The following is a 27,425-nucleotide window of genomic DNA, read 5'->3' as shown; positions in this document are numbered from 1 at the left end:
TGAGGGTCCTCTGTGGGTGGTTGCTTTCTGGGAATTCTGGACAGGTGATTAGCACTTACTCAATAAAAGAACTGAAAATCCACAAAGGTTTCCCCATGGAATGTCATCAAAAGAGCTCCAGTATTCCACTTTGGTAAAGTAGAGGATAATAGGAATGCAGGTGATGAAGAGGATGTTAAACACACCCAAGATGGACAAAAATAAGGCGGCTTCTCCAAACTTAGCACTGCCCAGGAGGAGCTTGAACAAAACCTGTAGGAGAAAGCAGAGGAGGACGGGGTGAAGGCTCACCTCAGACCCCAATATGATGTAAGCAAAGCAGAGTTCACTCCACAACGCTGGGTTTGCACTGCAGGATGGAAACCAGATTCCAGGTGAATTCCATGGGGTTTGGCCTGTGTTCATTTGCTCACATATTCAAATCCCAGGAACATGGCAGTGGAGGGTTGCTCTTTAGCTATACAGAAAGCTTCTTTGGAAGTCATGGGTTTTCATACTAGGTTTGATTTGTCTGTGTTGTGTTCCTGACACTACATCACTAAAAAACATCTGCCATGATTACGCATCCTCTCAGAGACCCCTGGAAGGGATCCTGGACCCTGTATAAGCAGGTTGAACACCACTGCTCCCAAGAAACAGTGCTCTGGCTGCAAAGATACGTTCTGTAAATCAAGGGTGGAGGGATTTTGCTCATCTCTGCTCCATCCCACCATGTCCATTCCAGAAATGGCATGGGTTTTAGTGGAATGCACCAAACTTTTATTTTCTTGCACCTGTTCTTTTTTTGCACATCATTTCAGGGGCTTGGAAGGCTGGGAGGAGAGGGTGAATGTGATGGGAGTGGCCAGAAGCTGAACTGAGAGATGCAGATGGCCCCAGGGCAGCTCCTGCGCTGAGTGAGCTGTGGTCCAATTTGAGTCTCTGCATTGTTGTCTCTCTTACTTTTCCTGCTTTCTCCTTGGTTCAGCCATTTCCCAACTCATTCATGTATTTCCTGAAAAATGCAGGAAGTAGGAAGGCTTTCAGGAAGTAGTAAATGGCTTTCAGCCTCTCACCTAGGAGTCCCCATGGACAAGTTGCAGGTGGTAGAGGAGTTGGAGACTGGAATCTGAATCAGAATATTGTGTTCATTGTGGATTGTGTTTCTCCCTGTTTTTTGCTTCTCATTAGTCCACAGCTATTTGAGTCTAGCAGAGTATATGCAGCCTTCTAATATTTCCTGCATTTGGACAGTTGCTAGAGTCTCAGAGTGGTGCTAGATTATCACATCTCCTCAGTGAGAGGTGCTCAGAGAAAGAAAATGACATGTGTGTCTTCCTCTGTGGGAGGTGAGGGCAGGGAGGTGATGAAGGATAAGGCTGAGTTATTTCATTTTCCCAAACCCAGAACACATGGTACTCACAGAGCTGGGAAAAAAATGCCTTTTCTTTGACTCTCTACAGTACTTAATTATATCAGTCCTATTGTCTGGATCCACAAAGGGCTGATACGTCTCAAAACTAAAATCTCTTTTCTCATTGAATCTTCTAGGTCAGTTCTCCAACTTGGAGTCCTGAAAATATTTGCATTCTCTGCTATGGATCTTAGGAGAAGGAGAGAGGAGGAGAAGGGAAGTGAGGGGGGAGAGCAGCCAGGGGGCTTGATAAAGTAGGAGGTGAACAGAGAAAGGGACCTGAGTGTGGGAATAAAAATTTGTTTCCTCTAGACCTGAAGCTGGCAAGTGCTTTCCCATGGTTCCCAACATTTCATCAAAATACTTTATTATCCCCGTATTACAGCCGTTGTACTTTTATTTATTTAGCCTTCAAGGCAGTACTTGAAATGCATATGGATTCATAGCGAGCAGTGGTGGCTGCAAAAACTGTGTGGGCAAAGATTTACATGACAAAGCTGCACCAGATATTCAAGTCTTCCCACCCCATAGGGTGGCAAATGATCTGAGCAAACACTGAACTTGTTCGCTGCCATCAATGATGTCAGGAATCTGACTGTGCGGATGGGCACCACTCATTTTATCCCAGGTGCTGCAACGATGTGGCTACAGATAGGAAGGCCCAGAGAGCCAAAGCCAAGAGCAGTGGCACACCTCCCCCTTGCCCTTGACTGAAGTCTCTGTCTGCCTGTTGCACAGTTGACTCCAGCTATCTAGAGCTGCCTGTCCTGAAGCACAGGTATCATCAGAAGCTGTTGAAAAGTAAAGGACAAGCGATCTAAAGCCGGCTGTGCTGGCTGAGGAGAGCCCAGCCAGCTGAGAAAGTTCACTCCCCGGGCGTACCTTGTAGAGGGCAGACATCGATGCTGAGGCCACCACCAGTGCGATGCCGATGACGGAGTGGCTGTGGAAGCCATCAGCGTAGGTCATCATCACAATGCCAGCGATGGCGAGGATGGCGGCCACAATCTGGACAGACGGAAGAAAATGCTGGTCAGGGAAGTCGGGACGGAGTCAGAGGGAGTATGCAAGCGCCAAAGAGCTGGAAATGTGCGTGGGGTTCAGCCACGTGAGGGGAAAGTGGTGTCTCCTTTTTGTTCCTCCTTGGGAGAGCAACAGGCAAAGTCTGACTCCTGTCTAAATTTTTGTTGCTGCTTAGAGAGGGCACTTAGCAAAGCTTGGCTTGACCAAAGAACTGAAACTGCTGGCAGCAGGGAATGGGTGGCATGGTGGTGGCCAGTCACTGCGATTCTTAGGGACCTGAGAAGGAGGTGGTCATAGTTGCAGTGGCAGGTTATTTGGTCATGACAAGCCTGGTAGATAATCCCTGGGAAGCCCCTGGAGATGACCTGAGTTCTTCCCCAGCCTTCTGAAAGTACCTCCTGTGACCTTGCTTTTATGTATTTCATATCTCAACAGGGAAGCCACCAGGAGGACAGCAGATCTTTTCCCCATTTTCTACCCCAGCAGTGGGGCCTGACAGAATGTCACCTGCCAATCAAGGCTACAAATAATGTCCTAACCTTGGAGGTGCTATTCCTTTCCTTCGTGGCCACAGGCCCCTCCACCCTACCCACCAAGGCTCCCCTCAATCCTGTTATTGTCCTGATGCTGACTTCTCAGATGGGACGGAGGCTTCATGGAGATGTACATATTACTCTCATGGAAAGTGAAATTGCCAGAGTAAATAGGAGATAAACCATCTGGGACAATATTCCTCAAAGGAGAAAATGCACCAGCACAGAGAATCAATACAAGGACTGATCTGAGGTAGCCATGAAGCTGCAGAAATGTCACCAGGTGGGAGGTGGAGAGGGGGTTGCCGTCAGTAGAACAAATGTGTGCAGAAGTTTCCACTCCTGGATTTACTGAGAATTTTATCCCTCTTATGAATCATTCAAAGTCAACTTCAGCTGTCTAAAACAATATCAAATAGCTAAGGTTAACTGAGTGGTCGTAGGATATATGTTTCTATGTATTTTCTCCTTTTATCCTCACAGTAGATATTATCATTCACCTCATTTTGTAGACATGAAAACCTAGGCTCACAGAGGTTAAGTAACTTGCCCAAACCCACACAGCTGGTATGTGGAAGAGCACAGTCAGATTTCAGGTCTGCCTAATTGCAAAGTTGGTGCTTACATATATAAACAGGAATGCATGATTCACATAGGAAGTACTGCCAACCTACTGTTAGATTCAAATTGAGGTTGCCTTAGTAGTTAAAACAAAAGATGTTTAGGTTAGTGAAACATAATGTGGCTTAATCTCATGCAGTATGTCTGAGTTACGTACTTCTCTTAGGTTATACCTTATACGCTATGTTTCTATATAATACTGTATCCACCCCTAACGCAGAGGCATTGAGAGAGCAGGTGGTTGTCGTGTAAGAGAGCACTGCCTGGCCCAATCTGTCTGCGTGTTCTTTCTGGTATGGGAATTCACTTGTAGTCAGCCACACCGTTTTGCATCAGATGTATGCCTACATCTCATATTCAAATGCTACATGTACTGTGTAGAAGTGTTCATTAAGAGAAGAAACAGAGATAGCAAGACCATAAGGGAATTTTTCCCCACAAGAAAATAAAAAAGGGAAAAGTGAGAAAGCAGGTGGGGAAAGGGTTGGTTTCTGCTCCAGAGGACACATGTAATGCAAGGGGGCTGTCAGGAACACGCCAAACCGGGCAGGCATCAGAGGACTCCCAGTGAAAATACAGGAGAAAGGAACAGAGAGAAGAAAATGGCCCAATTCCAGATGCTTGGTGCATCTCCCCTTTGGAGATAGCTTTTTTGTTTGTTTGTTTGTTTTGAGATGGATTCTTGCTTTGTTGCCCAGGTTGGAGTGCAATGGCACTACCTCGGCTTACTGCAACCTCTGCCTCCAGGGCTCAAGTGATTTTCCTGCCTCAGCCTCCTGAGTAGTTTGTGACTACAGGTGCCCGCCACCACACCTGGCTAAATTTTATATTTTTAGTAGAGACGGGGTTTCACCATGTTGGCCAGGCTGGTCTCAAACTCCTGACCTCAGGTGATCCACACACCTCGGCTTTCCAAAGTGTTGGGATTATAGGCATGAGCCACTGTGCCCGGCCTGGAGCTACCTTTTATTGAGCTACCTGGAGCTACCTTTCCAGGCTTACGGCTGAAGTTGGAGGCAATGAAGGACAGTGAGGGGTGATTTTTTCTGAAGACTTGCAGGGCACATTTCCAACCTCTTCCTCTGTTCTCTATTGATTAAATAATAAACAGCTAAAAGCTTCTGCCTGGGCTGCACTGTGCAGCTAAGCTGGGGGAAGGGACAAGGGGGTAGGAAATGAGAGCACGGTTGGACATTGACCTTTTGGTCTGTTGAGGAGATAAACATCAGAGGAGCCTGTGCCACCCCATCAGTTCATTCTGACAGGCAGGCGGGGGACTCTGATCTCCTCCTCCACACCTCCCAGCCTTCTCCTGGGGGTCCCGCCCACAAGGCACAGTGTTGACATCCCTGGCTGTGGGCCTTCCACTCTCTGGACATCAGCAGCCCTGCTATGACCGGACCCATGTGCTGGGATGTGAACTAGGGTTCCTACCTTACTCTCAATACCCTGTGGAGCACAGCAGGGTTGGAACGTGCCCTGTGCCTTTGGGAGCAGAGCTCAAGATTCCTTCCTGATGCCTGGAATTCCTGTTAAGTTTCCAGTTCTATCTTTTAAAAAGTATGCACATATGTTACATTTGACACCCTGACACATCTGAGTTTCTGGGTTTTCATGTGACAATATTTTCCTGCCCATTTCCTGCACTAAAACAAACTCTCTAGGAAGGCCAGTCAAGTCCGCCCTGTGGTTCCATGTGCTCCATGTACATCTTCTCCCTACTGGGGCCCCTGGACAGGTGCTAAGGGTGGGTGTGGAATCATGACAACGGAGCTCCCCTGACCTCCCCATGCCTCTCCTTCCTTACACTGTCCTGTCCCCCCCAGCCCTCAATGCTCCCCACGGAACAATCCTGAAACAAAGACTGATGGGTCACAGTGGCCCAAGACCGAGATGGGTAAGAGCCACCACCTCTTCTTTGTCTAGGGAACAGTTGGCTGGAGGTAAGGAAGGAACACAGGCCGGGGATTACTGCTTAGCATCTTCCTGTCCTCATCCAGCATGGTGACCCACTGTCATAACCTGCCCGGCTGCCAGAGCTCTAGATCTGAGTCCCACGCACCCAGGCCTGAGTCACAGACACACCACTCATCTCCATGACAGTTCTGCTCCCTGCTCCCTGTGGGGCTGAATGGGAAGGCAACAGAAACCTTTGAGCTTTAAAGAGGAGAGAGGAGGGTTAGTGGTGCCCTAGGTGAGGTCTAATCACTGTTGAGACTAGGGCTCCTCCTGCTTAGTCTTGCTAGAAGGTGGCAAGGCCTGGCGCGGTGGTTCACACCTGTAATCCCAGTGCTTTGGGAGGCTGAGGCGGGCAGATTTCTTGGGCCCACAAGTTCAAGACCAGCCTGGGCAACATGGTGAGACTCTGTCTCTACAAAATATGCAAAAAATTAGCTGGGTGTGGTGGCATGCCCCTGACTACCAGCTACTCAGGAGGTTGAGGTGAAAGGATCACTTGAGCCCAGAAGGTTGAGGCTGCAGTGAGCTATGATAGCACCACTGTAATCCAGCCTGGGTGACATAGTGAGATCCTGTCTCTGCAAAACAAAAACAAACAAACAAACAAACAAACAAAAAAACCTAAAAAAAACAAACAACAAAACGTGGCGGGGTGCCTGTTCTCTGCCAAACAGAACCCCATTTGGAAGCTTTTTAGATTTGCACAGCTACAGGCAATTTTACAAAAGGGAAAAATGGACTGATTTTTAATCATTCTTCCCCCAACTCTTTCCCTCCCAGCTGCTGGCCTGCTCTCATTGACTCAAGGATTACTGGAGTTTGGAGGGAACTGGGGGATCCTCTAGTCCACACCTTCTATGTCCGAGAGTAGAAAGTGGCCTGGGCTGTGAGCTCCACCATTGCCTGTCCACTGTGTCTTCCCCCATGCTGGGCTCAGGTTGCAGAGGGCAGCCCCCCACACAGCAGGGAGTCAGGACCAGATACCAGATACTGTTTGGGAATGGATGGCCCCTTTTGAAACACTGTGAACATTTTGATTATTGGAAACATCAGCTGGAATCTGATTGAGATGCGAACTGATCTTGGAAAAAGGTCCATGATCCCCAGGAATGTGCCGCTGGGGTTTGAGGACCCCATGGATGACCTCTTAGCTCACCTTCTGGCTCCTTCCCCCGTCCCTCCTGGTTTAAAGACCCTCACTGTGATTGGTGGTCCCGAACAGCCCTGAACAATCGGAGAATCTCACCTCCCATTTCCCTTGACATGGAGGCTGGGGGTGGTCTCACTCAGCCTGGCTGCAGCTAGCAGGCAGTGTGCGCCCAGGGTTCTACCTGCTCTCATCCTACTCTTGCTTTTGCCACATTAAACTGCCTCTCTAAATGTTCATCCACCAACAAGAGAATTGGGCTGATCCATCAACCCCCTCCAATTGAGAAGGAATAATAAGAATAATGCCATGGAGAAAAGATACCATTTGTTGAGTTTTATGTGTGAGGCATGCATCATCTTATTCTCACAACTGTTTTCTAAGATGAGTAGTAATATTCTCTCCATTTAACAGAGGCTCAGAGACATTTACTAGTCTGCTCAAGGTCCAAACAGCTTATAACAATGGAGCCAAGATCTGTGACCTCGTCACTTGACTCTAGCCTAGGACATCTCCATCGCTGAGCTAGAACCCTGACCTGGAGAACCAGGGAACGTACAGAAAGCACACCTAAGCAGAGAGTCAGATGGCGACACAAGGAGCCACCTTGGCTCCTTCCAAACAGACACTCCAATGGCTTCTCACCCTCTCATACCATACGTGGCCAGGAATCTCCCCAGCATGATAAGACACGTTTGCTTCCTTTTGGATCTGCGCACATGACTTCGACCTATTGATGTTTTCCAGGAACCATGGCCCTTGTGGTTTGAATAATTGCCTTAATAACAAAAGTCTCCTTAGCAGCCAATTCCACAAACATAAGGCTGTGCCTTCAACATGGATTTTTATGTCTGCTTGACTCTCAAGCTCATATGCTCAGCCCTCCAGGATGGAGAACTATGTTAATTCTTTTCAGTCTTTGGAAATTACCTAATGGACAGTGCCAGCCAACCCAGGTCTGAGTGAAGTCTGAGCGGTCCCATGCACCAGTTAGATATTATCTTGGAACTAAATCTCCATCTGTTTATCAAGGAGAATCTCTCAGTCCCTTTGGCACATGGCAGTGTCTCATGATGGATTTTGCTAGCTCTCTGAACTCCTGAAGAAGAGAAGAGGGAGTTCCAACACAACCTGTGGGAGGAAGCTCTTAGATGACTGGTCATGCACTTCGGAGAGGAATAATGATTATTAGAGAGACTCATAACTGCACAGTGCTTTGCAAATTACAAAATGCCATCAATGCCATCACCGACACTGGCTCCTGGGATCTTCATTCAGTGTCAGTCTAGTACCAAAGGCCTTCAACACAAAACTTTGCTCAGTACACAGTGATCAGCAACAGACCAAACCAATCAAGTGGCCACCATGGCCGGAATGTGCCATATTCTGAGGATGACTCTTGGGTGGGGGGTTGGAGGGGTCTTATCCATGCATAGCAGTAAAGATCTAGAAGCATCATGTTGCTTTCTATGAATTTAGGAGTATTTTTCAAGTTTTTCACACCTCCTTCTCTTAACCTCAAAAAAAATGGGTTTCTTCTGCTAGATGCAGAATTAACCTTGAAGCTTCTCTTCCCAGGAACAGGGTCTCATTTGGAATTTTCTAGGGACATCTGAGTCATGCCAAAAATTTCCATAAATTCTCCTGGCTCTTTACATCAAAATAAAGTCAGGAAGGACATGGGTGGGTGGCAGGGGGGCCCAGGACATTCAGATCTTCAGCATCGAGTCAGGCAGCCTGCTGGGTGGCTCACTGTGAGAAGTATCTGCATTTCTTGCAGAGATGCATCAGATCATTTATTTGCTGAAAGCTTTTCTGGTGGCACAGAGAGTGAGTTTTTATTCCAAAATTAACATTAAGCCTCAAAACAAATTTTCCCCCTACTGCGAGCTAAAAATATAACTCAGAAGTTGACTCACGTCCCCACTGCTGTTTGGGTAACTTAGGTGGGTGTGAATGCACCATTAGGGTGATGTCATTGTTCCCAGGACAATGAGGGAAGGACGGAAGTAGAGGGCCCTGCACTGGTGGCCAGCAGGGTTTACTTTCATGGGACTGCCCCTCAAACCGGCTCTTAGCTTTGTGGCTGAAGGGGAAAGCTGTACACTAACTACAGGAGAACTAGCGGCCTGGCTAAATGCTCTCGGCGCTGGTTTGTAGCAAGGTGATGACGGGGCAGTGACAGCTCCTGGCCACAAGAGGGAGCCAGTCAGAAGTCTCTAGGGTTCTGCCCTGTGCTTTGAAACTTCACCTGTTTCTTTTATTCGGGGGAATCTCTCTGTATTTCAGCTGATATTTGATAGTGCACGTGTCCTATTTCATACAGTTGTTATGAAATCCGACGAGCTAACTTTGACTAGCTTCTAATGTAATTGACTGGGTCTCGGTTGTAAAATGAGAGGTAATTCAAGGGATATAATTTCACTCCCCCTTCGTCATTGGTTAGAAGGAAGTGAAGCTGGCCCTTCACAGTTGGGACTTAGCATGAGTGTGTCTGGCCAACTCTGGCTGTGTACACAAGGCCCAGGCAAAGGGCCAAGACTGCATGCACGCATGGATGCCGAAGGATCCTTTGGGTTTCACGCACATCCTCACCCGAGAGTGGCAGTGTTAGCAGAAAGCTCCAGGCTGCAGGGCACGGTCATGCCACGCCCTACAGCCGGGAAAGCCGCCCATGAGAGACGGGGTGAGCACGCAGAGAGCGGAGCACATCGCCATTCCCAGGCTGGGTCCCCGACTGGCACACACTTTAGGGAATGCTTGTTGAAATGCTTGAAATGAAAGGTGCTTTAATGAATGCTTGTCTAGTATGGTTTGCAAGCAAGAAGGTTGGCAAGGCACACCAAGAACCGGGCCCTCTGCTGGGCTCATTTTCTGCTGCAAATCAGAAGGAAAGTGGTCAGCAGCTTATGCTCATGGTCCAGCACATGGAGCTAAGCAAGCCGATGGGCAGGTTTTGGTTGACATGACTGAGTGAGGGAGGAAGACAGATAATAAGGAACTTACCCTCACTCCCATGAATCTGTCCCTGAGAACGATCCATGAGAGCAAGAACACAAAAGCTTTGTTGCAGCAGAACAACACGGAGACATCCGTAGTGTTTATTTTCTTTATTGCATGTAAGTACAGGTAGTTTGTGAGTGTCCAAAGAACACCAAAGGGTGCTGCCTTGGTAAAAAACACCTTCAAAGTCAAGCCATTGTCTCCAAAAAATCGACAGCATTCCCTAAAACAAGGAAAGAGAGGCATCGTTATTATTTTCCTGGGTTCAGACAGACCATTTATTTCCTATAGCAAGTTTTTTTTTTTTTAAGCAAATATAGGAAGGGGCAGGGTTTTAAAATTTATTATTTTTAATAAACATCTTTCTATTAAAGCCCTTCAACCTATTGCTTTAGTCCACTGAAACAAATGTTGCACAGTGATCTAATGTCACAGATTCTTCCTTCTGTTCATGTTAAGCTTGGAATTTATGGTTCTATACAGAAGGTAATGTTGGTGTGTTATCTGACCCGAAGGCCTAATTCTATGGTGATTGACTGAGGGATTCTGTCACTTGCTGAGTAAGAGAAGGGGGTCACTAAACCTTTTTTGGGGTGGGGGTTGTGGGAGAAGGACGGTAATGGAGGAGGATGGATACTCTGGGGGTGGGGGTTGTGGGAGAAGGACGGTAATGGAGGAGGATGGATACTCTGGGGGTGGGGGTTGTGGGAGAAGGACGGTAATGGAGGAGGATGGATACTCTGGGGAAGACAGGGTGTCTAATCTTTTGGCTTTTCTGGGTCACATTAGAAAAAGAATTGTCTTAGGCCACATACAAACTACACTAACACTAACGATAGCTGATGAGCTACAAAAAGAAATCGCAAAAAAAAAAATCTCATAATGTTTTAAGAAAGTTTACAAATTTGTGTTGGGCCTCATTCAAAGCCAGCCTGGACCACATGTGGCCTGTGGGACGGGGGTTGGACAAGCTTGCTCTAAGAGAACACATTGAAACATAGTTTTAAAAAATGTTGCCCTCAGTTGGAATTATCTTTGTGATCAGGCAGGGGCAGTCACTTCTTGGGTATATCTAATACATTTTGGCTATGATACAAATAGTGTTAACTCGTGACCTATTTTCTCCCTGAGGCCATTTTTAGGGTACCTATTCCACCATGTGGAAGCCCCACTTCTCTAAGACACTATCTAGCACAGGAAGAATAAGCAGATCCAAAAGTTCAGAGTCTAACGCGGGAATGAGATGAGGAAACATCTGTAGAAGAAAGTCTTTTGATGCCGTTCTAGAGTCTAGGGGGAAGGATCACAGATAGTTCAAAAAATCTTTAAGAAAATTAAAGCCAGTCTTCTACATGCAGAAGAAGGAAGTAGAGGAGGCCGTGGGGAGCTCGGGTGTGGAGAAAGGCCACTGAGAAGGCTTGGTTGACAGCTGCCTCTTTCCTTGACTGTTGGGGAGTGAAGATCATTGCTGGGTTGGGCCCGATGAGCTAGGCAAGGAGATGGACAAGTGAGGAGGCACTGCTTCATGGAAGTCCCTGTCCAGGCTCATGGACATGGTGCTGCACTGCCACAGCTGGGGATGGCCTGCCAGCCAGGAAGGGAGTCAGCCTGCTAGTGATCTAGAAATAGACTCAGTCCCAAATGAACTGCCACGAGAACAAAAGAAAAGACATCTCTAGAATAAACCAAATGCACTAGGTTGGGGGAATAGCTCTGGTCTGTGCCACTTAATATTAAAATGCAGAGAAAAAGGAGGAAAATTAAAAACAAGAGTCAAAGGGGATTGGGTAAGATTTTAAATTTAATTTTACTGTCTAGTCTTCCTATCAATCTAGAAGGAAATCTGTCTTTGTTCATGACTCAACTATGGGATGTCCATAGCAGGAACAGGAAAACTCCTTAGAGAAAGGCATGAGAGCCTGGGATATTGAGAGAGGAGAAACACACTTACCGTTTTGTGGAGTCTGGTGCAGTTTGGCCACCTCTCTCTGTACACAGAGTCCTATGTTGCTTCTGAACAAACCGGGGCCAGGTAAAACATTCACTTCACTAAATTTATCATGAAACCGATTCAACTGAATTGATTCCATTTTGGCTTTATATAGCTGCAACCCTCATCTAACTGAGAGGCTGATATTTCTGTTTGCCATGTAATTTTCATACAATATTCCAGCTACATTTTCTATGGGGTTTTCCCAAGCCCCTGTTTGCAGAACAGTCTGTTCCCCCAGGGGCAGTGACCGTGAATGATGGCTTCCTTTATGTTTGTGATTATGGTGGCTACAAAGTGATGCTGGTCCATTGAGTATGACCAAAATAAAATACAAATATTCTTTCTGGCCATTAATGTCAATCTATCTCCACTATACTTAGAGGTTTCCCTTTCTAAGAGAAGAACATCATGCAAGCAGAATTTCCAAGTTCCACCTGGCTCACTGTCATGAAAAACAATTCATCTTCTGGAAGGGGCCATCCAAGGCTAACTGGGCAACCTACTTCCTCTTTGAAAATCCATATTTGACTCCTCCAAAGCCTGATCATTGTAGATGGGATGGAGAAGGGAGGTAGGGCACAGATATGGCTTGGTATTGATGGCCCAAGTTGCTGGAAATGGGGAGAGAGTGGGGATCCCATCCTGGAGATGAAAAAGGTGAGACTCTGAGGCCTGGCAGAGTCCTGCTGGCCCTTTAAGGCCTCATGGCCAGGAGATCACAGCTTAGGTTGGTAGGTCTTGGTTCTAATGAGACCAAGACAATTGGCCCCCTGGACTGGTGAGCTTTGTGATATTTTGAGACCAAAGACTATGCACTAATCTTCAGTGCTAAGAGATTAGCGCACAGTCTTCGGTCTTAAAATAGCATAATATTGGCCGGCAGCGGTGGCTCACACCTGTAATCCTAGCACTTTGAGAGGCCGAGGCGGGTCAGCTGAGGTCAGGAGTTTGAGACAAGCCTGGCCAACATGGTGAAACCCTGTCTCTACTAAAAATTCAAAAATTAGTCAGGCATGGTGGTGAGCACCGGTAATCCCAGCTACTCGGGAGCCTGAGGCAGGAGAATCACTTGAACCCGGGAGGCGGAGGTTGCAGTGAGCTGAGATTGCACCATTGCACTCCAGCCTAAGTGACAAGAGTGAAACTCCATCTCAAAAAACAAACAAACAAAAAAACCCAGCACAATATCTCAGGATCTGGCTGGCCCATGTACGTCCTTGATTGCAAGGGAACCCAAGACAGATGATGAACATGAATCCATTTCTGCCAGAGACCTCCCTCTTCTTGGTATACAAATGGAGCACAGTCAACACTCTCTTGACTGACGCCCACATTACTGACGGGACAGTCTAACACCCTTCATTCCTTCTGCTCACTGATGCTGCTGGCAGGCTTAAGACTAGAGGGTGGCAGGTTACTTCCAGAACACTCAAGTCCTTCTGTTCCTATGGATTGAGTCACATACAAAGATTAGATGTATTTACTTCTGATCCTGCTTGTGCCAGTTAGCTGTTCTTGGTATTTCAATTACACGGTTTAATTAAGTATTTCATAAACCAATGAAATATGAGTGGGAAACGAAAACTTTTTTTCCATGAAATCTAAATTGAGAGCTTCAAGAAAGACTTAATAAAAATAAGCAATACTAGGCTGGGGGTGGTGGCTCACGCCTGTAATCCCAGCACTTTGGGAGGCCAAGGTGGGTGGATCACAGGGTCAGGAGATCGAGACCAGCCTGACCAACATGGTGAAACCCCATTTCTACTAAAAACACAAAAAAATTAGCCAGGCATGGTGGTGCGCGCCTGTAGTCCCAGCTACTTGGGAGACTGAGGGAGGGGAATCGCTTGAACCTGGAAGGCGGAGGTTGCAGTGAGCCAAGGTGGTGCCACTGCATTCTAGCCTGGTGACAGAGCAAGACTCTGTCTCAAAAAAAAAAAAAAAAAAGCAATACTGCTACTGAATATTTAATTATTCAATAGAATTATTCAAAGAAACATGGTAAAAGAAAAAATGGTAAAAATCTATAAGTTCTGCACTCATATTATTTGACAAATACTTACATACTTATGTTCTTAGTACTCTTTAAAGAATCCTAGCTGGGATAGCCTGTCTTGACTTCATATTCTAACTTTTCTATGAATTTCTAAAATTTGGTTATATCACACATTTAGGGATGAGGATGGCTTATCATTTAATTCATATCAACAAACACTGGTTTAGCACTTGCCATTCCCACAATTCTAGACAAGGCCTTGTGGCTGATACAGAAAAGTAAACTTTTCAAGCTAAGGAAGCTTTTCTTTTAAACTAAGATGAATTATTTCTTTTGTAATTTCCTCCACTTCAGTTTTTCTATTTAGTTTTTTTCTATTTCAGTTTTTCTGGTGCTTCTTTTAGTTTGATATTGGATCTTTTGGTTTGATCTTCTAATTTTCTTTTTTCCTTCTTGCTTTCTCTATCTTATTTTATGGGAGATTATCTTGACTTTATATTCCAACTCTTCTATTACATTTTAAAATATTGGTATCCTACATTTAATTTTCAAGAGCAGCCCCTGCTCATGAGAAGGTGTAATTGGGGAGATAACATTTATCCTTCCATAGGAGGCAATGCAAGCCTAACATATTCACATAGGAGATAGATGGTGTGGAATATAATGATGCTACAGTGGAGAGTTGGGCTGACTGGATAAGTCCTCATAAAAATGTGGATTTTGAGCTGAACCGAAGGACTAAAGGACAGGAAGGATTTATATAGGTATGTGCGTGGGGTGGCAGAGAGATAATATCCTTGCAGAGATAAGAGAAGATATTGTATCTATGAAACAAGAACAAATGGTTATTAAAAAGGATATAATCTTGGAAATTAAATATATAACTACATTTTAGAAATTAATAGACATTTTGGGATGCCAAGGCGGGCAGATCACTTGAGGTCAGGAGTTCAAGACCAGCCTGGCCAATATGGTGAAACCCTGCCTCTACTAAAAAAATATAAAAATTATCTGGTGTGGTGGTACACACCTGTAGTCCCAGCTACTTGGGAGGCTGAGGCATGAGAATCGCTTAAACCTTGGAGGTGGAGGTTGCAGTGAGCCAAGATCATGCCACTGCACTCCAGCCTGTGTAATAGAGCAAGACTCTGTCTCAAAAAAAAATAATTAATAGAAAAGTTGGAATATAAAGTCAAAATAATCTCCCATAAAATGAGAGAGAGAGGGAGAGAGGAAGAAGGAAGGAAGGAAGGAAGGAAGAAAGGAAGGAAGGAAAGGAAGGAAAGAAAGAAGGAAGGAAGGAAGGAAGGAAGGAAGGAAGGAAGGAAGGAAGGATAAAATTAGGAGATTAAACCAGAAAGTCTAATATCAAACTAAAAACCCCAGAAGGAGCAAACAGAAAAAATGAAGTGGAGGAAATTACAAAATAAATCATTCAAGACAGTTTCTCAGAACTGAAAGACATGAATCTTCATAATGTAAGGGGCCACCAAGTACCAAAAAAATGAATAAAGAAAGAACCACAACAAGGCACCTATTTGTAAAATAAAGGTATAAAGAGAAAACCTAAAATCTCCCAAGAGAAATGAAACAAACAAGGTCAAGAAATAGGAAATTGTAATTTCATCAGACACCACCACAACCAAAATGGAAGCTAGACAATCATGGCACAACGCATTAACATTTTTGAAGGAAAATTTTTTTTCCAGCCAGAATTCTATCACCAATCAATTATCAATCAAAGGTGGAGGTAGATTGAAGGCATTTTCAGCTATGCAGTCCTCAACAGCGGTGTCTCCCAAGCCACTGGAGGACAGGCTGCACCAAAGCAAGGGTGTAGACCAAGGAGGAAAAAGACGTGGCAGCTGGAAGCAGGCCAGCTCCACACGGGCAAGAGAGAAAGTGGGTCCCAGCATCAACAGGGTGCTCTGCTGCAGACCGGGAACCGCAGAAGGCTCCTGGAGGAGATTCTCTGAGGAAGTCTTGTGATTAAGCAAGAACAGGGAAAATAGTGATAGGCTTTTGAGGTGGCAGAACGTTTAGGGGAAAAAATAGCAATCATTACATGGAAATCAAGATGAATGAGACAAAAGAGGGAAATATTGTTGGCAGGAGAAATGACAGGTTTTTCACAAAAGGAGGCAGAGTCAGTGAACAATATATGTGTGCTTATGATAATGCAAACACTATTAACTAAAAATTGGGATATTATTGTGTTGGGGGTGGGGAAGAAAGGGTAGGGTGAGATAGAAATCAGAGGATGTCTATATTTAAGAAATACTGAGATAAGAATTTAATTTAGCTAAATTGGTATAAATACTAGAGAAAAGTATCCGCAAGAATTGAGGGTGGCTGAGAGTAGGCAGATGTGGAGCTGGAAGAAGTTGCTCCTTTTTACCATAATTCTTTTACTACTATTTTGCTTTTCCAGAGTATGTGCATGCATTGAATTGCTAAAATTAAGTTAATTAAAAACACATAAGAGAGAGGTAAAGTTTCTGTGGTTGAAGCTGAAATGTGGGCACTCAGACAGCTTTGAGGGGTACAGTTTGAAAACCACAGAGAGAGAGAGAAGCCCTGCAATTAACAGTGAAGGATGCCACAGCCCAGACAGACGAAAAGACCCACTCAAGTTCAAACAGATGTTAGTAGCGGAGCCAAACCTGCAGCCTGGGCTTATTCCTCAGTGAACACTCTTATGTTCCTCTTTTTCCCGTACCCATTTCATCACCATTTAAACATGTCTAAGCTTTTCCAACTTTAACATACCCCTGTACAAAAACAAGCCTCTCACCCGCCCCTTTCCTCTGTTCCCCTTTTTCATAGCCACACTTTTCAGAATAGCCATCTACGCTCAAGTTCTCCATGACCTTGCCTTCCTCACTGTCCAGCTACTCTAGTCGATGCCTGCTCCCCACACTCATTCAAACCCCTGGACCAACTGTGAATGACCTTCACATTGCCAATTCCAGAAGGCACTTTTGGGTGTTCATCTTACTCTGAGAAACCTCCTACATTGTTGACTGTTTCTCCCTGAAACACCCTCTTAGCTTCCAACTTAGCACAGTCCCCAAAGTTTCCTTTGACCTCTCCACATCCTCTAGACTTCCTCTGTAGGCCTTCTTTGGTATTCTTCTTTTTTCTTTTAATTTCTTCTTAAAAAAAACAACAACAACAACAACCCAGGATACATGTGCAGAATGTGCAGGTGTGTTACATAGGTACATGCATGCCATGGTGGTTTGCTGCACCTATTGACCCGTCCTCTCAGTTCCCTTCCCTCATCCCTCATCCTTCAACAGGCCCTGGTGTGTGTTGTTCCCCTCTCTGTGTCCACATGTTCTCAATGTTCAAATCCCACTTATGAGTGAGAATGTGGGGTGTTTGGTTTTCTGTTCCTGTGTTAGTTTGCTGAGGCTGATGGCTTCCAGCTTCATCCACGTTCCTGCAAAGGACATGTTCTTATTTCTTTTCATGGCTGCATAGTATTCCATGGTGTATATGTACTGCACTTTCTTTATCCAGTCTATCATTGATGGGCATTTGGGTTGGTTCCATGTCTTTGCTATTGTAAATAGTGCTGCAATAAACATATGTGTGCAAGTGTTTTTATAGTAGAATTATTTAGATTCCTTTGTGTATATACTCAGTAATGGGATTGCTGGGTCAAATAGTATTTCTGGTTCTAGATCCTTGAGGAATTACTGCACTGTATTCCACAATAGTTGAACTAATTTACATTCCTACCAAAAGTGTAAAAGTTCCTATTTCTCCACAGCCTCACCAGCATCTACTGTTTCCTGACTTTTTAATAATTGCCATTCTGACTGGCATGAGATGGTATCGCATTCTGATTTTGATTTGCATTTCTCTGATGATCAGTGATGTTGAGCATTTTTTTCATATGTTTGTTGGCCGTGTAAATGTCTTCTGTTGAGAAGTGTCTGTTCATATCCTTTGCCCACTTTTTGATGGGGTTGTCTTTTTCTTGTGCATATGTTTAAGTTCTTTGTAAATTCTGGATGTTAGACCTTTGTCAGATGGGTAGATTGCAATACCACCCTGAACACGCCCGATCTTGTCTGTTCTTTGATATTTTCTTAGGGTTCTCTTCAACCTACAAATAGTCACTGAGCAATGTCATCTATTGTCATGGTTTTAAAGCCCAGCTGATGACTCTTTAATCAGGACACTTTAAAAAATCTGATACCACCCTTGCCTGGACATTCCCAGATGCCTCAAATTCAGCCTTCCCAAATAAACTCAGTGTCTTTCCCCTGCATCCTCAATCCCGAGATGCTACCATGATTCATGTTTCTACCCAGGCCAGATACTTAAGAATCATTTTCAGCTTCTCCTTTTTCGTCTTCACATCTAATTTATCACCATGGCCTATAGATTATTTCTACTAAATATTTTATTCTCATGGTCAGTACCCTGGCCCATGCCCTTATTCTCTCTCACTTCAACTACTGCTGCTGGAGACTAGTTAAGCTTCTCTCTTCACTGCTGTCCCTCCTCCAATCTGATTCATTCCATTTTCCACACTACACTCAGAGAGATCCTCCTCTTCCCTGGCCTTCCCTTAGGATAATGGCCAACCTCTTTGGTTGGTTAATTTCCATCAATTGGGTATCAGCTCGTATATCCCCTTCAGTGAAGTGTTCCTGACACATGGTCCCATAATGCCCTGTCTTCCTCATCATAGTGTACAGGACCCTTATTGTAATTGCACTTTATTGTAATAGCAGCTTATTTAATTGTCCAACTTCTTCACTAGAACATACACTCTGTGTGGTTGTTATACTTTTGCTTCATATTATGTCCTCATAGCCTAGCATATAATACATGTTTACAAATAATTTTTTACAGAATGCATGCACTTACTCCTTTATGGAGGACCAGAGGTTTTTCAAACAATGAAGCATGGGGCCATTTGTCTTAAAAAATCCCAGGGAGCTGTTAAAAATACAATTGCTTGGATTTGACCCCAGACATACTTAATCATACTGTCCAGTGAGGGGCCAAGAATTTTGTAGAGAATGGTGCAGTTTATATGTGGGATGCATTCTTGACAGCATGCCATCATTCAAAATTTACAAATCTTGACTAGTTTTCCCCCAGTAGCACTGCGTTTCTGTTCGTCAGCCAGTTAATGTTAACACCATTACCTGGCATTTATAGTTCACTTGGCCTTCCAGAATTGGTATTGTGATTCCTGTTTAGCTTTTAAAATCTCAGAGAAGTCACATTATTTGAAATTTTATGCATACATAAAACATGTCATAGTTATATTTTTTTACTGCAAATTTGCATTAAATGTGAACTTCATTGTATTTTTTAAAAATTTCCAGATTATTTTCATGAACAAATTTGAATTCAAAGGTTCATGCTCTTTTCTCTCTCTTTCTCTGTTTTCTTTCTTTCTCTCTTTTAAAAAGTTCTTCTAAATTTTTAATTGTGGTAAAATACATATAACATTTACAATCTTAACAATTTTTTTTCTTCTCTTTTTTTTTTTTTTTTTTTTGAGATGGAGTCTTGCTCTATCGCTCAGGCTGGAGTGCAGTGGTGCAATCTCAGCTCACTGCAAACTCTGCCTCCCAGGTTCATGCCATTCTCCTGCCTCAGCCTCCAGAGTTGGTGGGACTACAGGCGCCTGCCACCATGCCTGGCTAATTTTTTGTATTTTTAGTAGAGATGGGGTTTCACCGTGTTAGCCAGGATGATCTCAATCTCCTGACCTCATGATCTGCCCGTCTTGGCCTCCCAAAGTGCTGGGATTACAGGTGTGAGCCACCACGCCTGGCCTGCTTTGTTACTTTTTATTGATGACAGGCTGTGTAAAGAAAATTGTAGGGCTCTGAATGATGTCATTTTCTTCTGGTGTAGATTTAGTTTTTTCTGGCATGAGGATCACCTTGACTGGTTCATACTAGTCAATTTCTGTTTTTCCCCCTTTACTCTTAGGTCATAGAACTTTCGTTGGTCTCAACTAAAAGTATTGGTTGTTTACAAGGGCTTCTCCCAGTTGGTGGGTTTGAACTCTGGTTTTTCTCCCCAGGACTATGAGACTACTAAAGTCTTTGCCTTGGTGGACGCTTTTTTTGTTTGGTTCCTCCTTGTCTGATCCCAAACATTCAGTTTAGGTATCAGTCAATGCCTTGAGGGGTAACAGCACATGGAATTTAAATTGACTTCTGTTGAGTTCTTCTCTTCTGTGATCCTGAATCAATCTCAATCCATGGCTAGGTTGCCAGCCTTGAATTTCTAGCTTTTTGTCCTCCCAGCCTAATGAATGCTGTAAGTTCCATGCTGCTGGTTTCTGTTTGGCTTCTATGACACACAATGTGAACTGGAAAATTCTATAAGAAGGCAAAGCACCAGCAAATGTATGGCTGCCCTCCTCTGTGTCCCTTCACTCTGGATCCTGGTACTTTAAATCCTGGCTGTATTGGTTGCTCTCTGATGTCCCACAACAATTTTTAAAAGTATTTTCTCCAACTTTTATAATTTTTCTTAAAGGGAGGGTTAGTCTGATTTACTCTGTCAGCGAATTGCCTACCTTTATTTAAGCTGCTAAATTTTAGAGGCTCAAAGGAGGTTCTGAAATGACCCTGGGTAGGTGATCAGAGAAGAGTTATAATAGTGGCAAATTGATCATTCCTGGGCCCCAATCTAGAGATGCTGTTTCAGCAGGTCTGGAATGGGGCACAGAAATTTACGTATTTTAAAATATACTTAGGAGATTCTGATGCATATCCAGGTAGATCACGATCTCTGAAAATGTGTCCGAGGAACACTTGTGCCATTAACACCTAGGGCACTTGCTAACACTTCGTCTAAGCCACTATCATTTCTTACCTAGATTATTATTATCCTTCTTTCATACCTTTGTCTCTTTCTTTTAAACATAAATCAGACCATGTTATTTTCTTGCTCAAAAACTTTCATTGGCTTACCATCTTCTTTGGAGTAAAAAAGGTAAATATGGGGGAAGATCTGGACATGGTTCTTTTCCTCACCCCTTCAGATCTCTGACCAAACTTCAGAGACCTTCCCAGACACCCTCTATAAAACAGTAACTACACTACCTCAATCACTTTCAGCATACCTTAATCCTTCATTTCTTTTTCTTTATCACTCACACTGTCTTTCTCTGAGATGTCACATATTTACATTTCTCAAAAAAAACCTGTCTTTATTGAGGTATGATTGACCTAAAAAAGGCAGTGCATATTTAATGTATACAATTTAATGAGTTTGGAGTAAGTACACACCCATGAACTCCACAATTAATGCCACAAATATATCCATCACCTCCAAAGTTGCCTCAGCCCTCTTTTTTTGTGTGTGTGTTAAGAACACTTAACATAAGATTTACCCTGTTAGCACGTATTTAAGTATATGCCACAGTATGAGTAGCTATAGGCACTCTACTGTACAGAAGAGCTCTAGGACTTATTCATCTTGCATAACTGAAACTTTGCACTCTGACTAACTCTTCCCTGTTTTCTGCCCCCCTTATCCTTTGGCAACCACCATTATACTCCTTGCTTCTATGAGTTTAACTGTTTTTTTTTTTTTTTTTGAGACAGGGTATTGCTCTGTCACCCAGGCTGGAGTGCAGTGGCATGATCATGGCTCACTGCAGCCTCAATCTCCAGGGCTCAAGTAATCTTCCCACCTTGGCCTCCCAAAGTGCTAAGATTACAGGCGTGAGCCACTGTGCCCGGCCCAAGCTTAACTATTTTAACTATTCCCTTATATTAGTGAGATCATATAGTATTTGTCCCTTTGTGTCTGGCTTATTTCACTTAGCATAATGTCCTCTAAGTCCATCGATGTTGCCCAGATGGCAGGATTTCCTTCTTTTGTAAGGCTGAATAGTATTACATGTTGTATACATACCACACTTTATCCATTCATCCATCAATAAACATTGAAGCTGGCTATTGTGAATCGTGCTGTGGTAACATGGGAATGCAGACATTACCTCTTTAACATACTGATTTCAGTTCCTTTGTATATATACCCAGTAACGGGATTTCTGGATCATATGGTAGTTCTATTTTTAATTTTTTGAGGTATCTCCATACTGTTTTCCATGGTGGCTGTACCCATTTTCATTTCTACAACGGTGTACAAGGGTTCCCTTTTCTCCATATTATCACTAACACTTGTTGTCTTTTGCTTATGATGGCAGCCATTCTAACAGATGTGAGGTGGTATCTCACTGTAGTTTTGATTTGCATTTCACTAATGATTAGTGATGCTGAGCATCTTTTCATATACCTATTGGCCATTTGTATGTCTTCTTTGGAGAAATGTCTATTCAGGTCCTTTGACCACATGTTTTTTTTAATTGTCTGTGTTCAGCCACTGTAGGCAAATGTTTCATTAAAAGAAAATGTAAGTTCAAGGCATTTGCAGCCTACAAGAAATTTTAGTTTCTGAGATTTTCCCTTGAGGACTGGTCCAGCCTGAACGATAAGGTCTTGGAGAGGGAACGTGGAGAAGCACAGACTGCATATATGTCTCACTAACTAGGAGTTTTACAGCCTCCTCCACAGGAATCTGTTCTTTGGGGACCAGCTGGTTATTTTGCATGCTCAGTCAAATAGCAGAGGTATCTGAGAAGTGCCGAGAGTGTGCCTGTTCCCAAAGCATCGCTGGTCCACAGGGCCCCTGGCCAACTTGCTAGATTCACAGTGAAGTGATTCTGAGCTCTATGACAAAGGTGAAGATGGAAGTGGCAAAGACAGAGATGACTGACAGCCTCCATTTATGTCTGGATACTAAGATGGCAAGTGAAGCAGTCTGGCTACTTAGGAAGGACGGACCTTCTGAACCTCTGCACATTTCCTTCCAACCTGAAACAGCCTCTCCATATCAGAAACCACTCTTCCTATTCTAAAGAGTCCATTAAAATATTGCATGGAATAAATCTACTCTGAATACTTTTGTTTGTGATAGTCCACTTAACCCAGTGAGGTTACACACTAGGTTTTTTTTTTTGAAGCAGAAAGACCCCATAGGACCATCCCTTGCAAAATGTGATTTTTTTGCGATGGACGTAGGAGATGAAGAGCAAGCTGGAGATGGGCTCTAATGACAGCTGTTAGTACTGAAATGGAATAGGCGGCTCAGGAAAGTGTCAACCTTCTGCTTTAAGAAAGCACATCCCTCCGCAAAACAGAGGGAAACAGCGCTCAGCTCTTGTTCAACAGGTACCAGAAAATAACAGCTGCTGGGCTCTCACTTCTATGTTCCTGCTTTTTCACAACTTCCACATCAGCAATGATTGGTTTGAGTTTCACTAAACTGTCAAGAGATGAACCAGGAATACATTTGTATAACACATGATCCAACAGCATTTATATCCCAGAGTGGAGAAGACACAGCAGAGTGTGTGGACCTTTACTTGGCTCCTTTAAAAGAAGTTGGAACTCAGACTCAGTGGGAACAGTGGAGCAACACCAGATCTGAGGGTGCCCGTCAGAGTCCCAGAATGGGACTCCACAGCTGTGGCAGGTGTCTGTGTTCATCTGCTGGCTGGCCTGGCTTTCTTCCTCAGGGGTGGTTATTTATTTAGGGCTTTGCAGTGGTAGAAAGGAGTATATTTAGCTCGCTATGAAAAAGAATTTTCAAATAATTGTTTAACAAGAAAAGCAGCTGAGATTTCAAAGCTGGGCTTGCTTTTGTACCCCCACACCACATTTCAGGGATCTAGGATTCTAACAGTGTGGAAAGACAACCAATGAAAATTCCAAACATTTGATGAGATTTCCTGAAGACCTTGGGCGAGCAGCACTCCCTCTCAAGCTCAGCCTGGCTCCCGTGCTTGCAATCGAGAGACTGACACTTGAGAACTGGCCTGACCAATGTGCTCTTTGCATTTGTCACCATGAAAGGGAATGGAAATTGGGTACACATCCGTGGGCAGAATGGCAATCTTCAAAGCCCAAGCTTCGCAAGGCAGCAATGCAGTATCCAATGAGCTATCTCACAGAGCTACCCCACAGATATTCAAGAACGTGTAATGGGATAGTTTAATTACCCTATGGGAATTCCAAAAGGCTTTCAGCCCAACTGTAGTCCCTTCGTCACTCATGTTAATGTCACCTGCTGTCCTTGGCCTTTCTCAGAGGAGCAGGAACAATATCTTGTCCTAGTGATCTGTCACTAAAGCAGGCTGCAGGAACACAGAGCTGCCATCACAGGGCCCAGCTGGGACAGCGAGGCACTGAGATGGGCAACCTTCCTCGCTAGACAATCATGACATTTCTCTGCATCTGGCTGAACTCAGTTTCTGCCTCAGGCCCCGTGGGCTTCAGAAATTTGCAGATATCCCCTTGCTGCTGTCTCCTTCATGGAGTTACTGGCTCTCTCCTCTTCCATGGCTTTCTCTTTGACTTTGGGTTCCCCCCCCAGGCACCCTGTAAATCTGCCCCCATAATATTCTGTGCCTCCCTCCCTCCCACCTCCACAGAGCTCTATCATGACTGTTTACATAGCTGTCTCTCCTAGCAGAGCACGATCTCTTCCTGGAAGAAGGAGCCTGTGTCTCAGTCACCTTTGTACCTTCCAGCATCTAGGATAGTGCACAATCCAAAAGTGGCAGTCAGGAAATATTTGTGAATAAATGAGCGGAACTCAGCGCTTGACGTTTAGGCAGATTTTGCCAACGTCAGCACATTTATACTGCCAGAAAGTTTAGCAAGTGGGTATCTTAAAACTGTGAACTATCAGTTGGCAGGGACGTCAGAGCTCCGACTTCCGTACTTTAGATGTAGGAAAGCTCTGGCATGGATGTGATGCATTCTGCCCAGGGTGATGGGGAGCTAGTTAGTAGCAGGGCTGAGTCTAGAACTAGGGGCTCCTGATTCAATTCCCCACTCTCTGCATTTATTTTAGTGAAGCCTTAATTGTGGCTGATGTGCTGGGTAAAGTGGAACAATCTTTACCAGAAAGAGAGTCGCTGCCCACCTACTCTGCTGGCCGAGACAGAGCCAGGAAACAGAGCCAAGCCTGTTGCAATGGTGGTTCCTTCGTTGCTTCGGCTCAACGCTGTCGAGGGACCTGTGTGGAGTGCTGAGCCTAAGGAACCTGCCTCCCTGGGTGTTGCAGGAAAGGGTATGTGGATTTGGGGTTTATTCCCTGCAACTAATTATGCAGATGTGTAGGCAATGCTCTTTGCTATTTTCAGGAGCTGTGTTAAAACTATTTAAAGACATGGGCATAGATTTGTCTTTAGAAAAGAAACATTCAGGGGAATTATCCCAAGGGCTCTCCCTCTGGCTTATGATTTATGCTTTTAGAAAACAGCCTCCTTCAAACTGAAGAGACATAACGACTTGTGGAATTCAGCATCAAATGAACAGGCTGTGTTTTCCTGGTCTCAAACCTGGAGTAAGACGAAGATGACCCCAATTCAACAGCTTTTGAAAAATCAGGATCATTCCTAAAGAGAACAGTTTTATGAAAGTTGAAATTAAAGGTTGTTATATCTCAAGGGCAAGAATGCTTATGGATGGGGTCAACTCCATAATGTGCCTTTTTGGATAACACTGATTTCTATTAATTGGAAAGCTTTTCAAGGCCAGCCCCAGGAGACTGGTGTGTCTGGGTGCACTGGTTTTGAAGGCAGATGTGCTGTTTGGGTATGTCTGTCTCTCTTTCTCTCTTCCTCACACACACAGCCAGAACTGCCTACATCCAGACCAACAGCATAGACTTTAGAGCTGGATGGATTTCCATGGCACATGCTGATGGCTTCTTGTAAATATAATTTAGATTTGACTAACCATCTAAATGTGTGCTCCCTGGCCCTGCATGTGATGCGGATCAGAGACATGCATAGTTCACCCTTGAAGACGACACAGAGATTCAAGGATTCAAAATGGGTTGACAGAAAGTTATCCTTGTTTTTGGATGTTTTCCCAGCATAGAGAAAGCTCCTGGGTACAGCTGAGCTCCGGCTCTCAGTTCCTCGCCTCCTAGACTCAGGCTTGCACCCCGGAAGCTGCCATCCTCAGGGCTCCTGCCTGCTCCAGAGGCTTCCCGACAGGCCTTCCTAGTTCCCATCTTGCTGTGATTCTTGTTTATGGCTCCTTTCTGTGCACTTGGAGTCTATGGACACCCAGTGACAGTCAGCTCTAGCTGTGAGAGAGGTAGTCTATCTTTTCTAGAAAAAGTGGAGCTTTTCAAAATAAAGTTACTCTCATCTGCCTATGGCATCAGAGGGGTCTGGAGGCAGGATCTTGCTCGAGTGCCCTTTTTGGGAACCGGATAATGAGTCTTAGACATCATAAGTCTAAAAATGAATTAGCTGTAATCTCTGGGTGTCAGTTGTTTTCTTCATTTGTGAAATGAAGGGCCAGGTCCAATGGCCTCTAGGATCCTTTCACAGTCAAAAATCAGTGAATATGAGATTCAAATCCTGATAACTTGAAAATCTAAAGCTGGAAGTACCTTTCTGGAGGAGAGGCCCAGGCCTGGAGAAAACATCACTGTTGAAGGGCCCTAGTTTGGGAGGTGGCAGGAGGACAGGTCCCGCCTGCACTATGCTTCCTCTCTGTTCATGGCAGGGAACTGACAGTTCATAAGAACAAGGGCAACTCTAAACAGCAGCAAAGCTTCTCACCGAGCATATTAAAACCACCCTAGTATGAGCCCCAGGGCCCTTTCCCATTCCAAGACAGAACATTTGGGGGTGACATACACCCATGGGTGGGATTCTAACATTTATCATTTATTCCAGACCCCAGGATGCCCCAACAGGCACCACAATTGTTTTAGTCATTTCTTGGTAACAGTTCTGGAGCCAGATGGTTAACCCATTTATGCTGGAGGTTGAGATTTTTTGAATTTAATTTGAATTTAAAAATCAGACATTGGCGATGACCTTGAGCAGTAGGATATAAATAACTCCGACATGCTTGGCGTTCCAATAATGGAACACTAGGCATAAGTGGGTCAAGGGAGTCAAAATCTTCCCTGACCATGTTGTCTATGCAAGCCCAGAATCAAGACCCTGCTGATCTGTAGAGGGCCACTGCTGAGAGGCCAGATGGCCTCCCTGCTGTCCTTAGCCAGGTTTGCAAGAGATCAACTGCCTCACACATTGCTTTCCTTGCATGATTCTCAATGTGCTGGGCTGCCAGAACTTGGCACAAAAGGCAGCAGATAGGCACTGCAGCAGTGTTTATAGGAGTGGATGCATCAAAGCCTTACAAATCTCTGCTCCCTCACTCCAAGATGCAGAAGCACATGCTACCACCAGTCCTGCAACCAAACCCAGACACGTGCAGTCCAGGCGTGGTGAGCTATGGTTTCCCTGGAGCTAAGACAGTCAGGGATCTGCCGCTGCCACTCTTGACCTCTTGATCCCGTTACTCTCATCCCATCTCAGTCTGGTGCTTCTTTTTTGTCTTCTGCACACCAAGGACATCACTAGCTCCCAATATTTTTGGCTTTTGCCTTAAAGTGTATTTGGAAAGTACAAGGACCAACTGCAGTCAATTTTGCTTCTGGAAGGCAAGATTACCCTAATTAGCGTAAATACAAATTATGGTGGCTTCTCCATCACGAAAACCCCACTAGAGGCCTAGAATGGTGGCTCATACCTGTAATCCCAGCACTTTGGGAGGCAAAGGCAGGAGGATCACTTGAGCCCAGGAGTTCGAGACCAGCCTGGGCAACAGAGTGAGACCTGCCTCTTAAAAAAATTTAGCCACTTGTGGTGGTACGTGCCT

At 44.5% G+C, this 27,425-nt stretch overlaps 1 protein-coding gene and 1 non-coding gene across 3 annotated transcripts in view, besides 1 other annotated feature; both read right to left on the bottom strand.

Moving 5' to 3' along the window:
• The window catches only part of SLC35F3 (solute carrier family 35 member F3), a 419,836-nt gene that overhangs the window by 5,509 nt on the left and 386,902 nt on the right, over positions 1-27,425 (bottom strand). For both annotated transcript variants that reach the window (NM_173508.4, NM_001300845.2), the window contains 3 exons: positions 9,683-9,902; positions 2,276-2,401; positions 60-252 (listed from right to left, as the gene is read on the bottom strand). In NM_173508.4, coding sequence (NP_775779.1) covers positions 60-252; positions 2,276-2,401; positions 9,683-9,902 — 539 coding nt within the window. The remainder of the gene's footprint in view (positions 1-59; positions 253-2,275; positions 2,402-9,682; positions 9,903-27,425) is intronic.
• Positions 4,666-4,960: an enhancer, noted in NCBI's record as "tiled region #10620; HepG2 Activating DNase matched - State 5:Enh". NCBI's record gives its function as "activates a minimal TATA promoter and a strong SV40 promoter by Sharpr-MPRA in HepG2 cells {active_cell/tissue: HepG2}" and the evidence as "EXISTENCE:reporter gene assay evidence [ECO:0000049][PMID:27701403]".
• On the bottom strand, positions 12,464-12,536 carry MIR4671 (microRNA 4671). Its single transcript, NR_039818.1, has one exon. It is a non-coding gene; the product is annotated as a microRNA 4671 (primary transcript).

The sequence above is a fragment of the Homo sapiens genome, chromosome 1, assembly GCF_000001405.40.
Source record: "Homo sapiens chromosome 1, GRCh38.p14 Primary Assembly".
NCBI lineage: Eukaryota > Metazoa > Chordata > Mammalia > Primates > Hominidae > Homo > Homo sapiens.
Note: the sequence above shows the minus strand (reverse complement) of the source record. Positions and strands in the feature narration are given on the sequence as shown.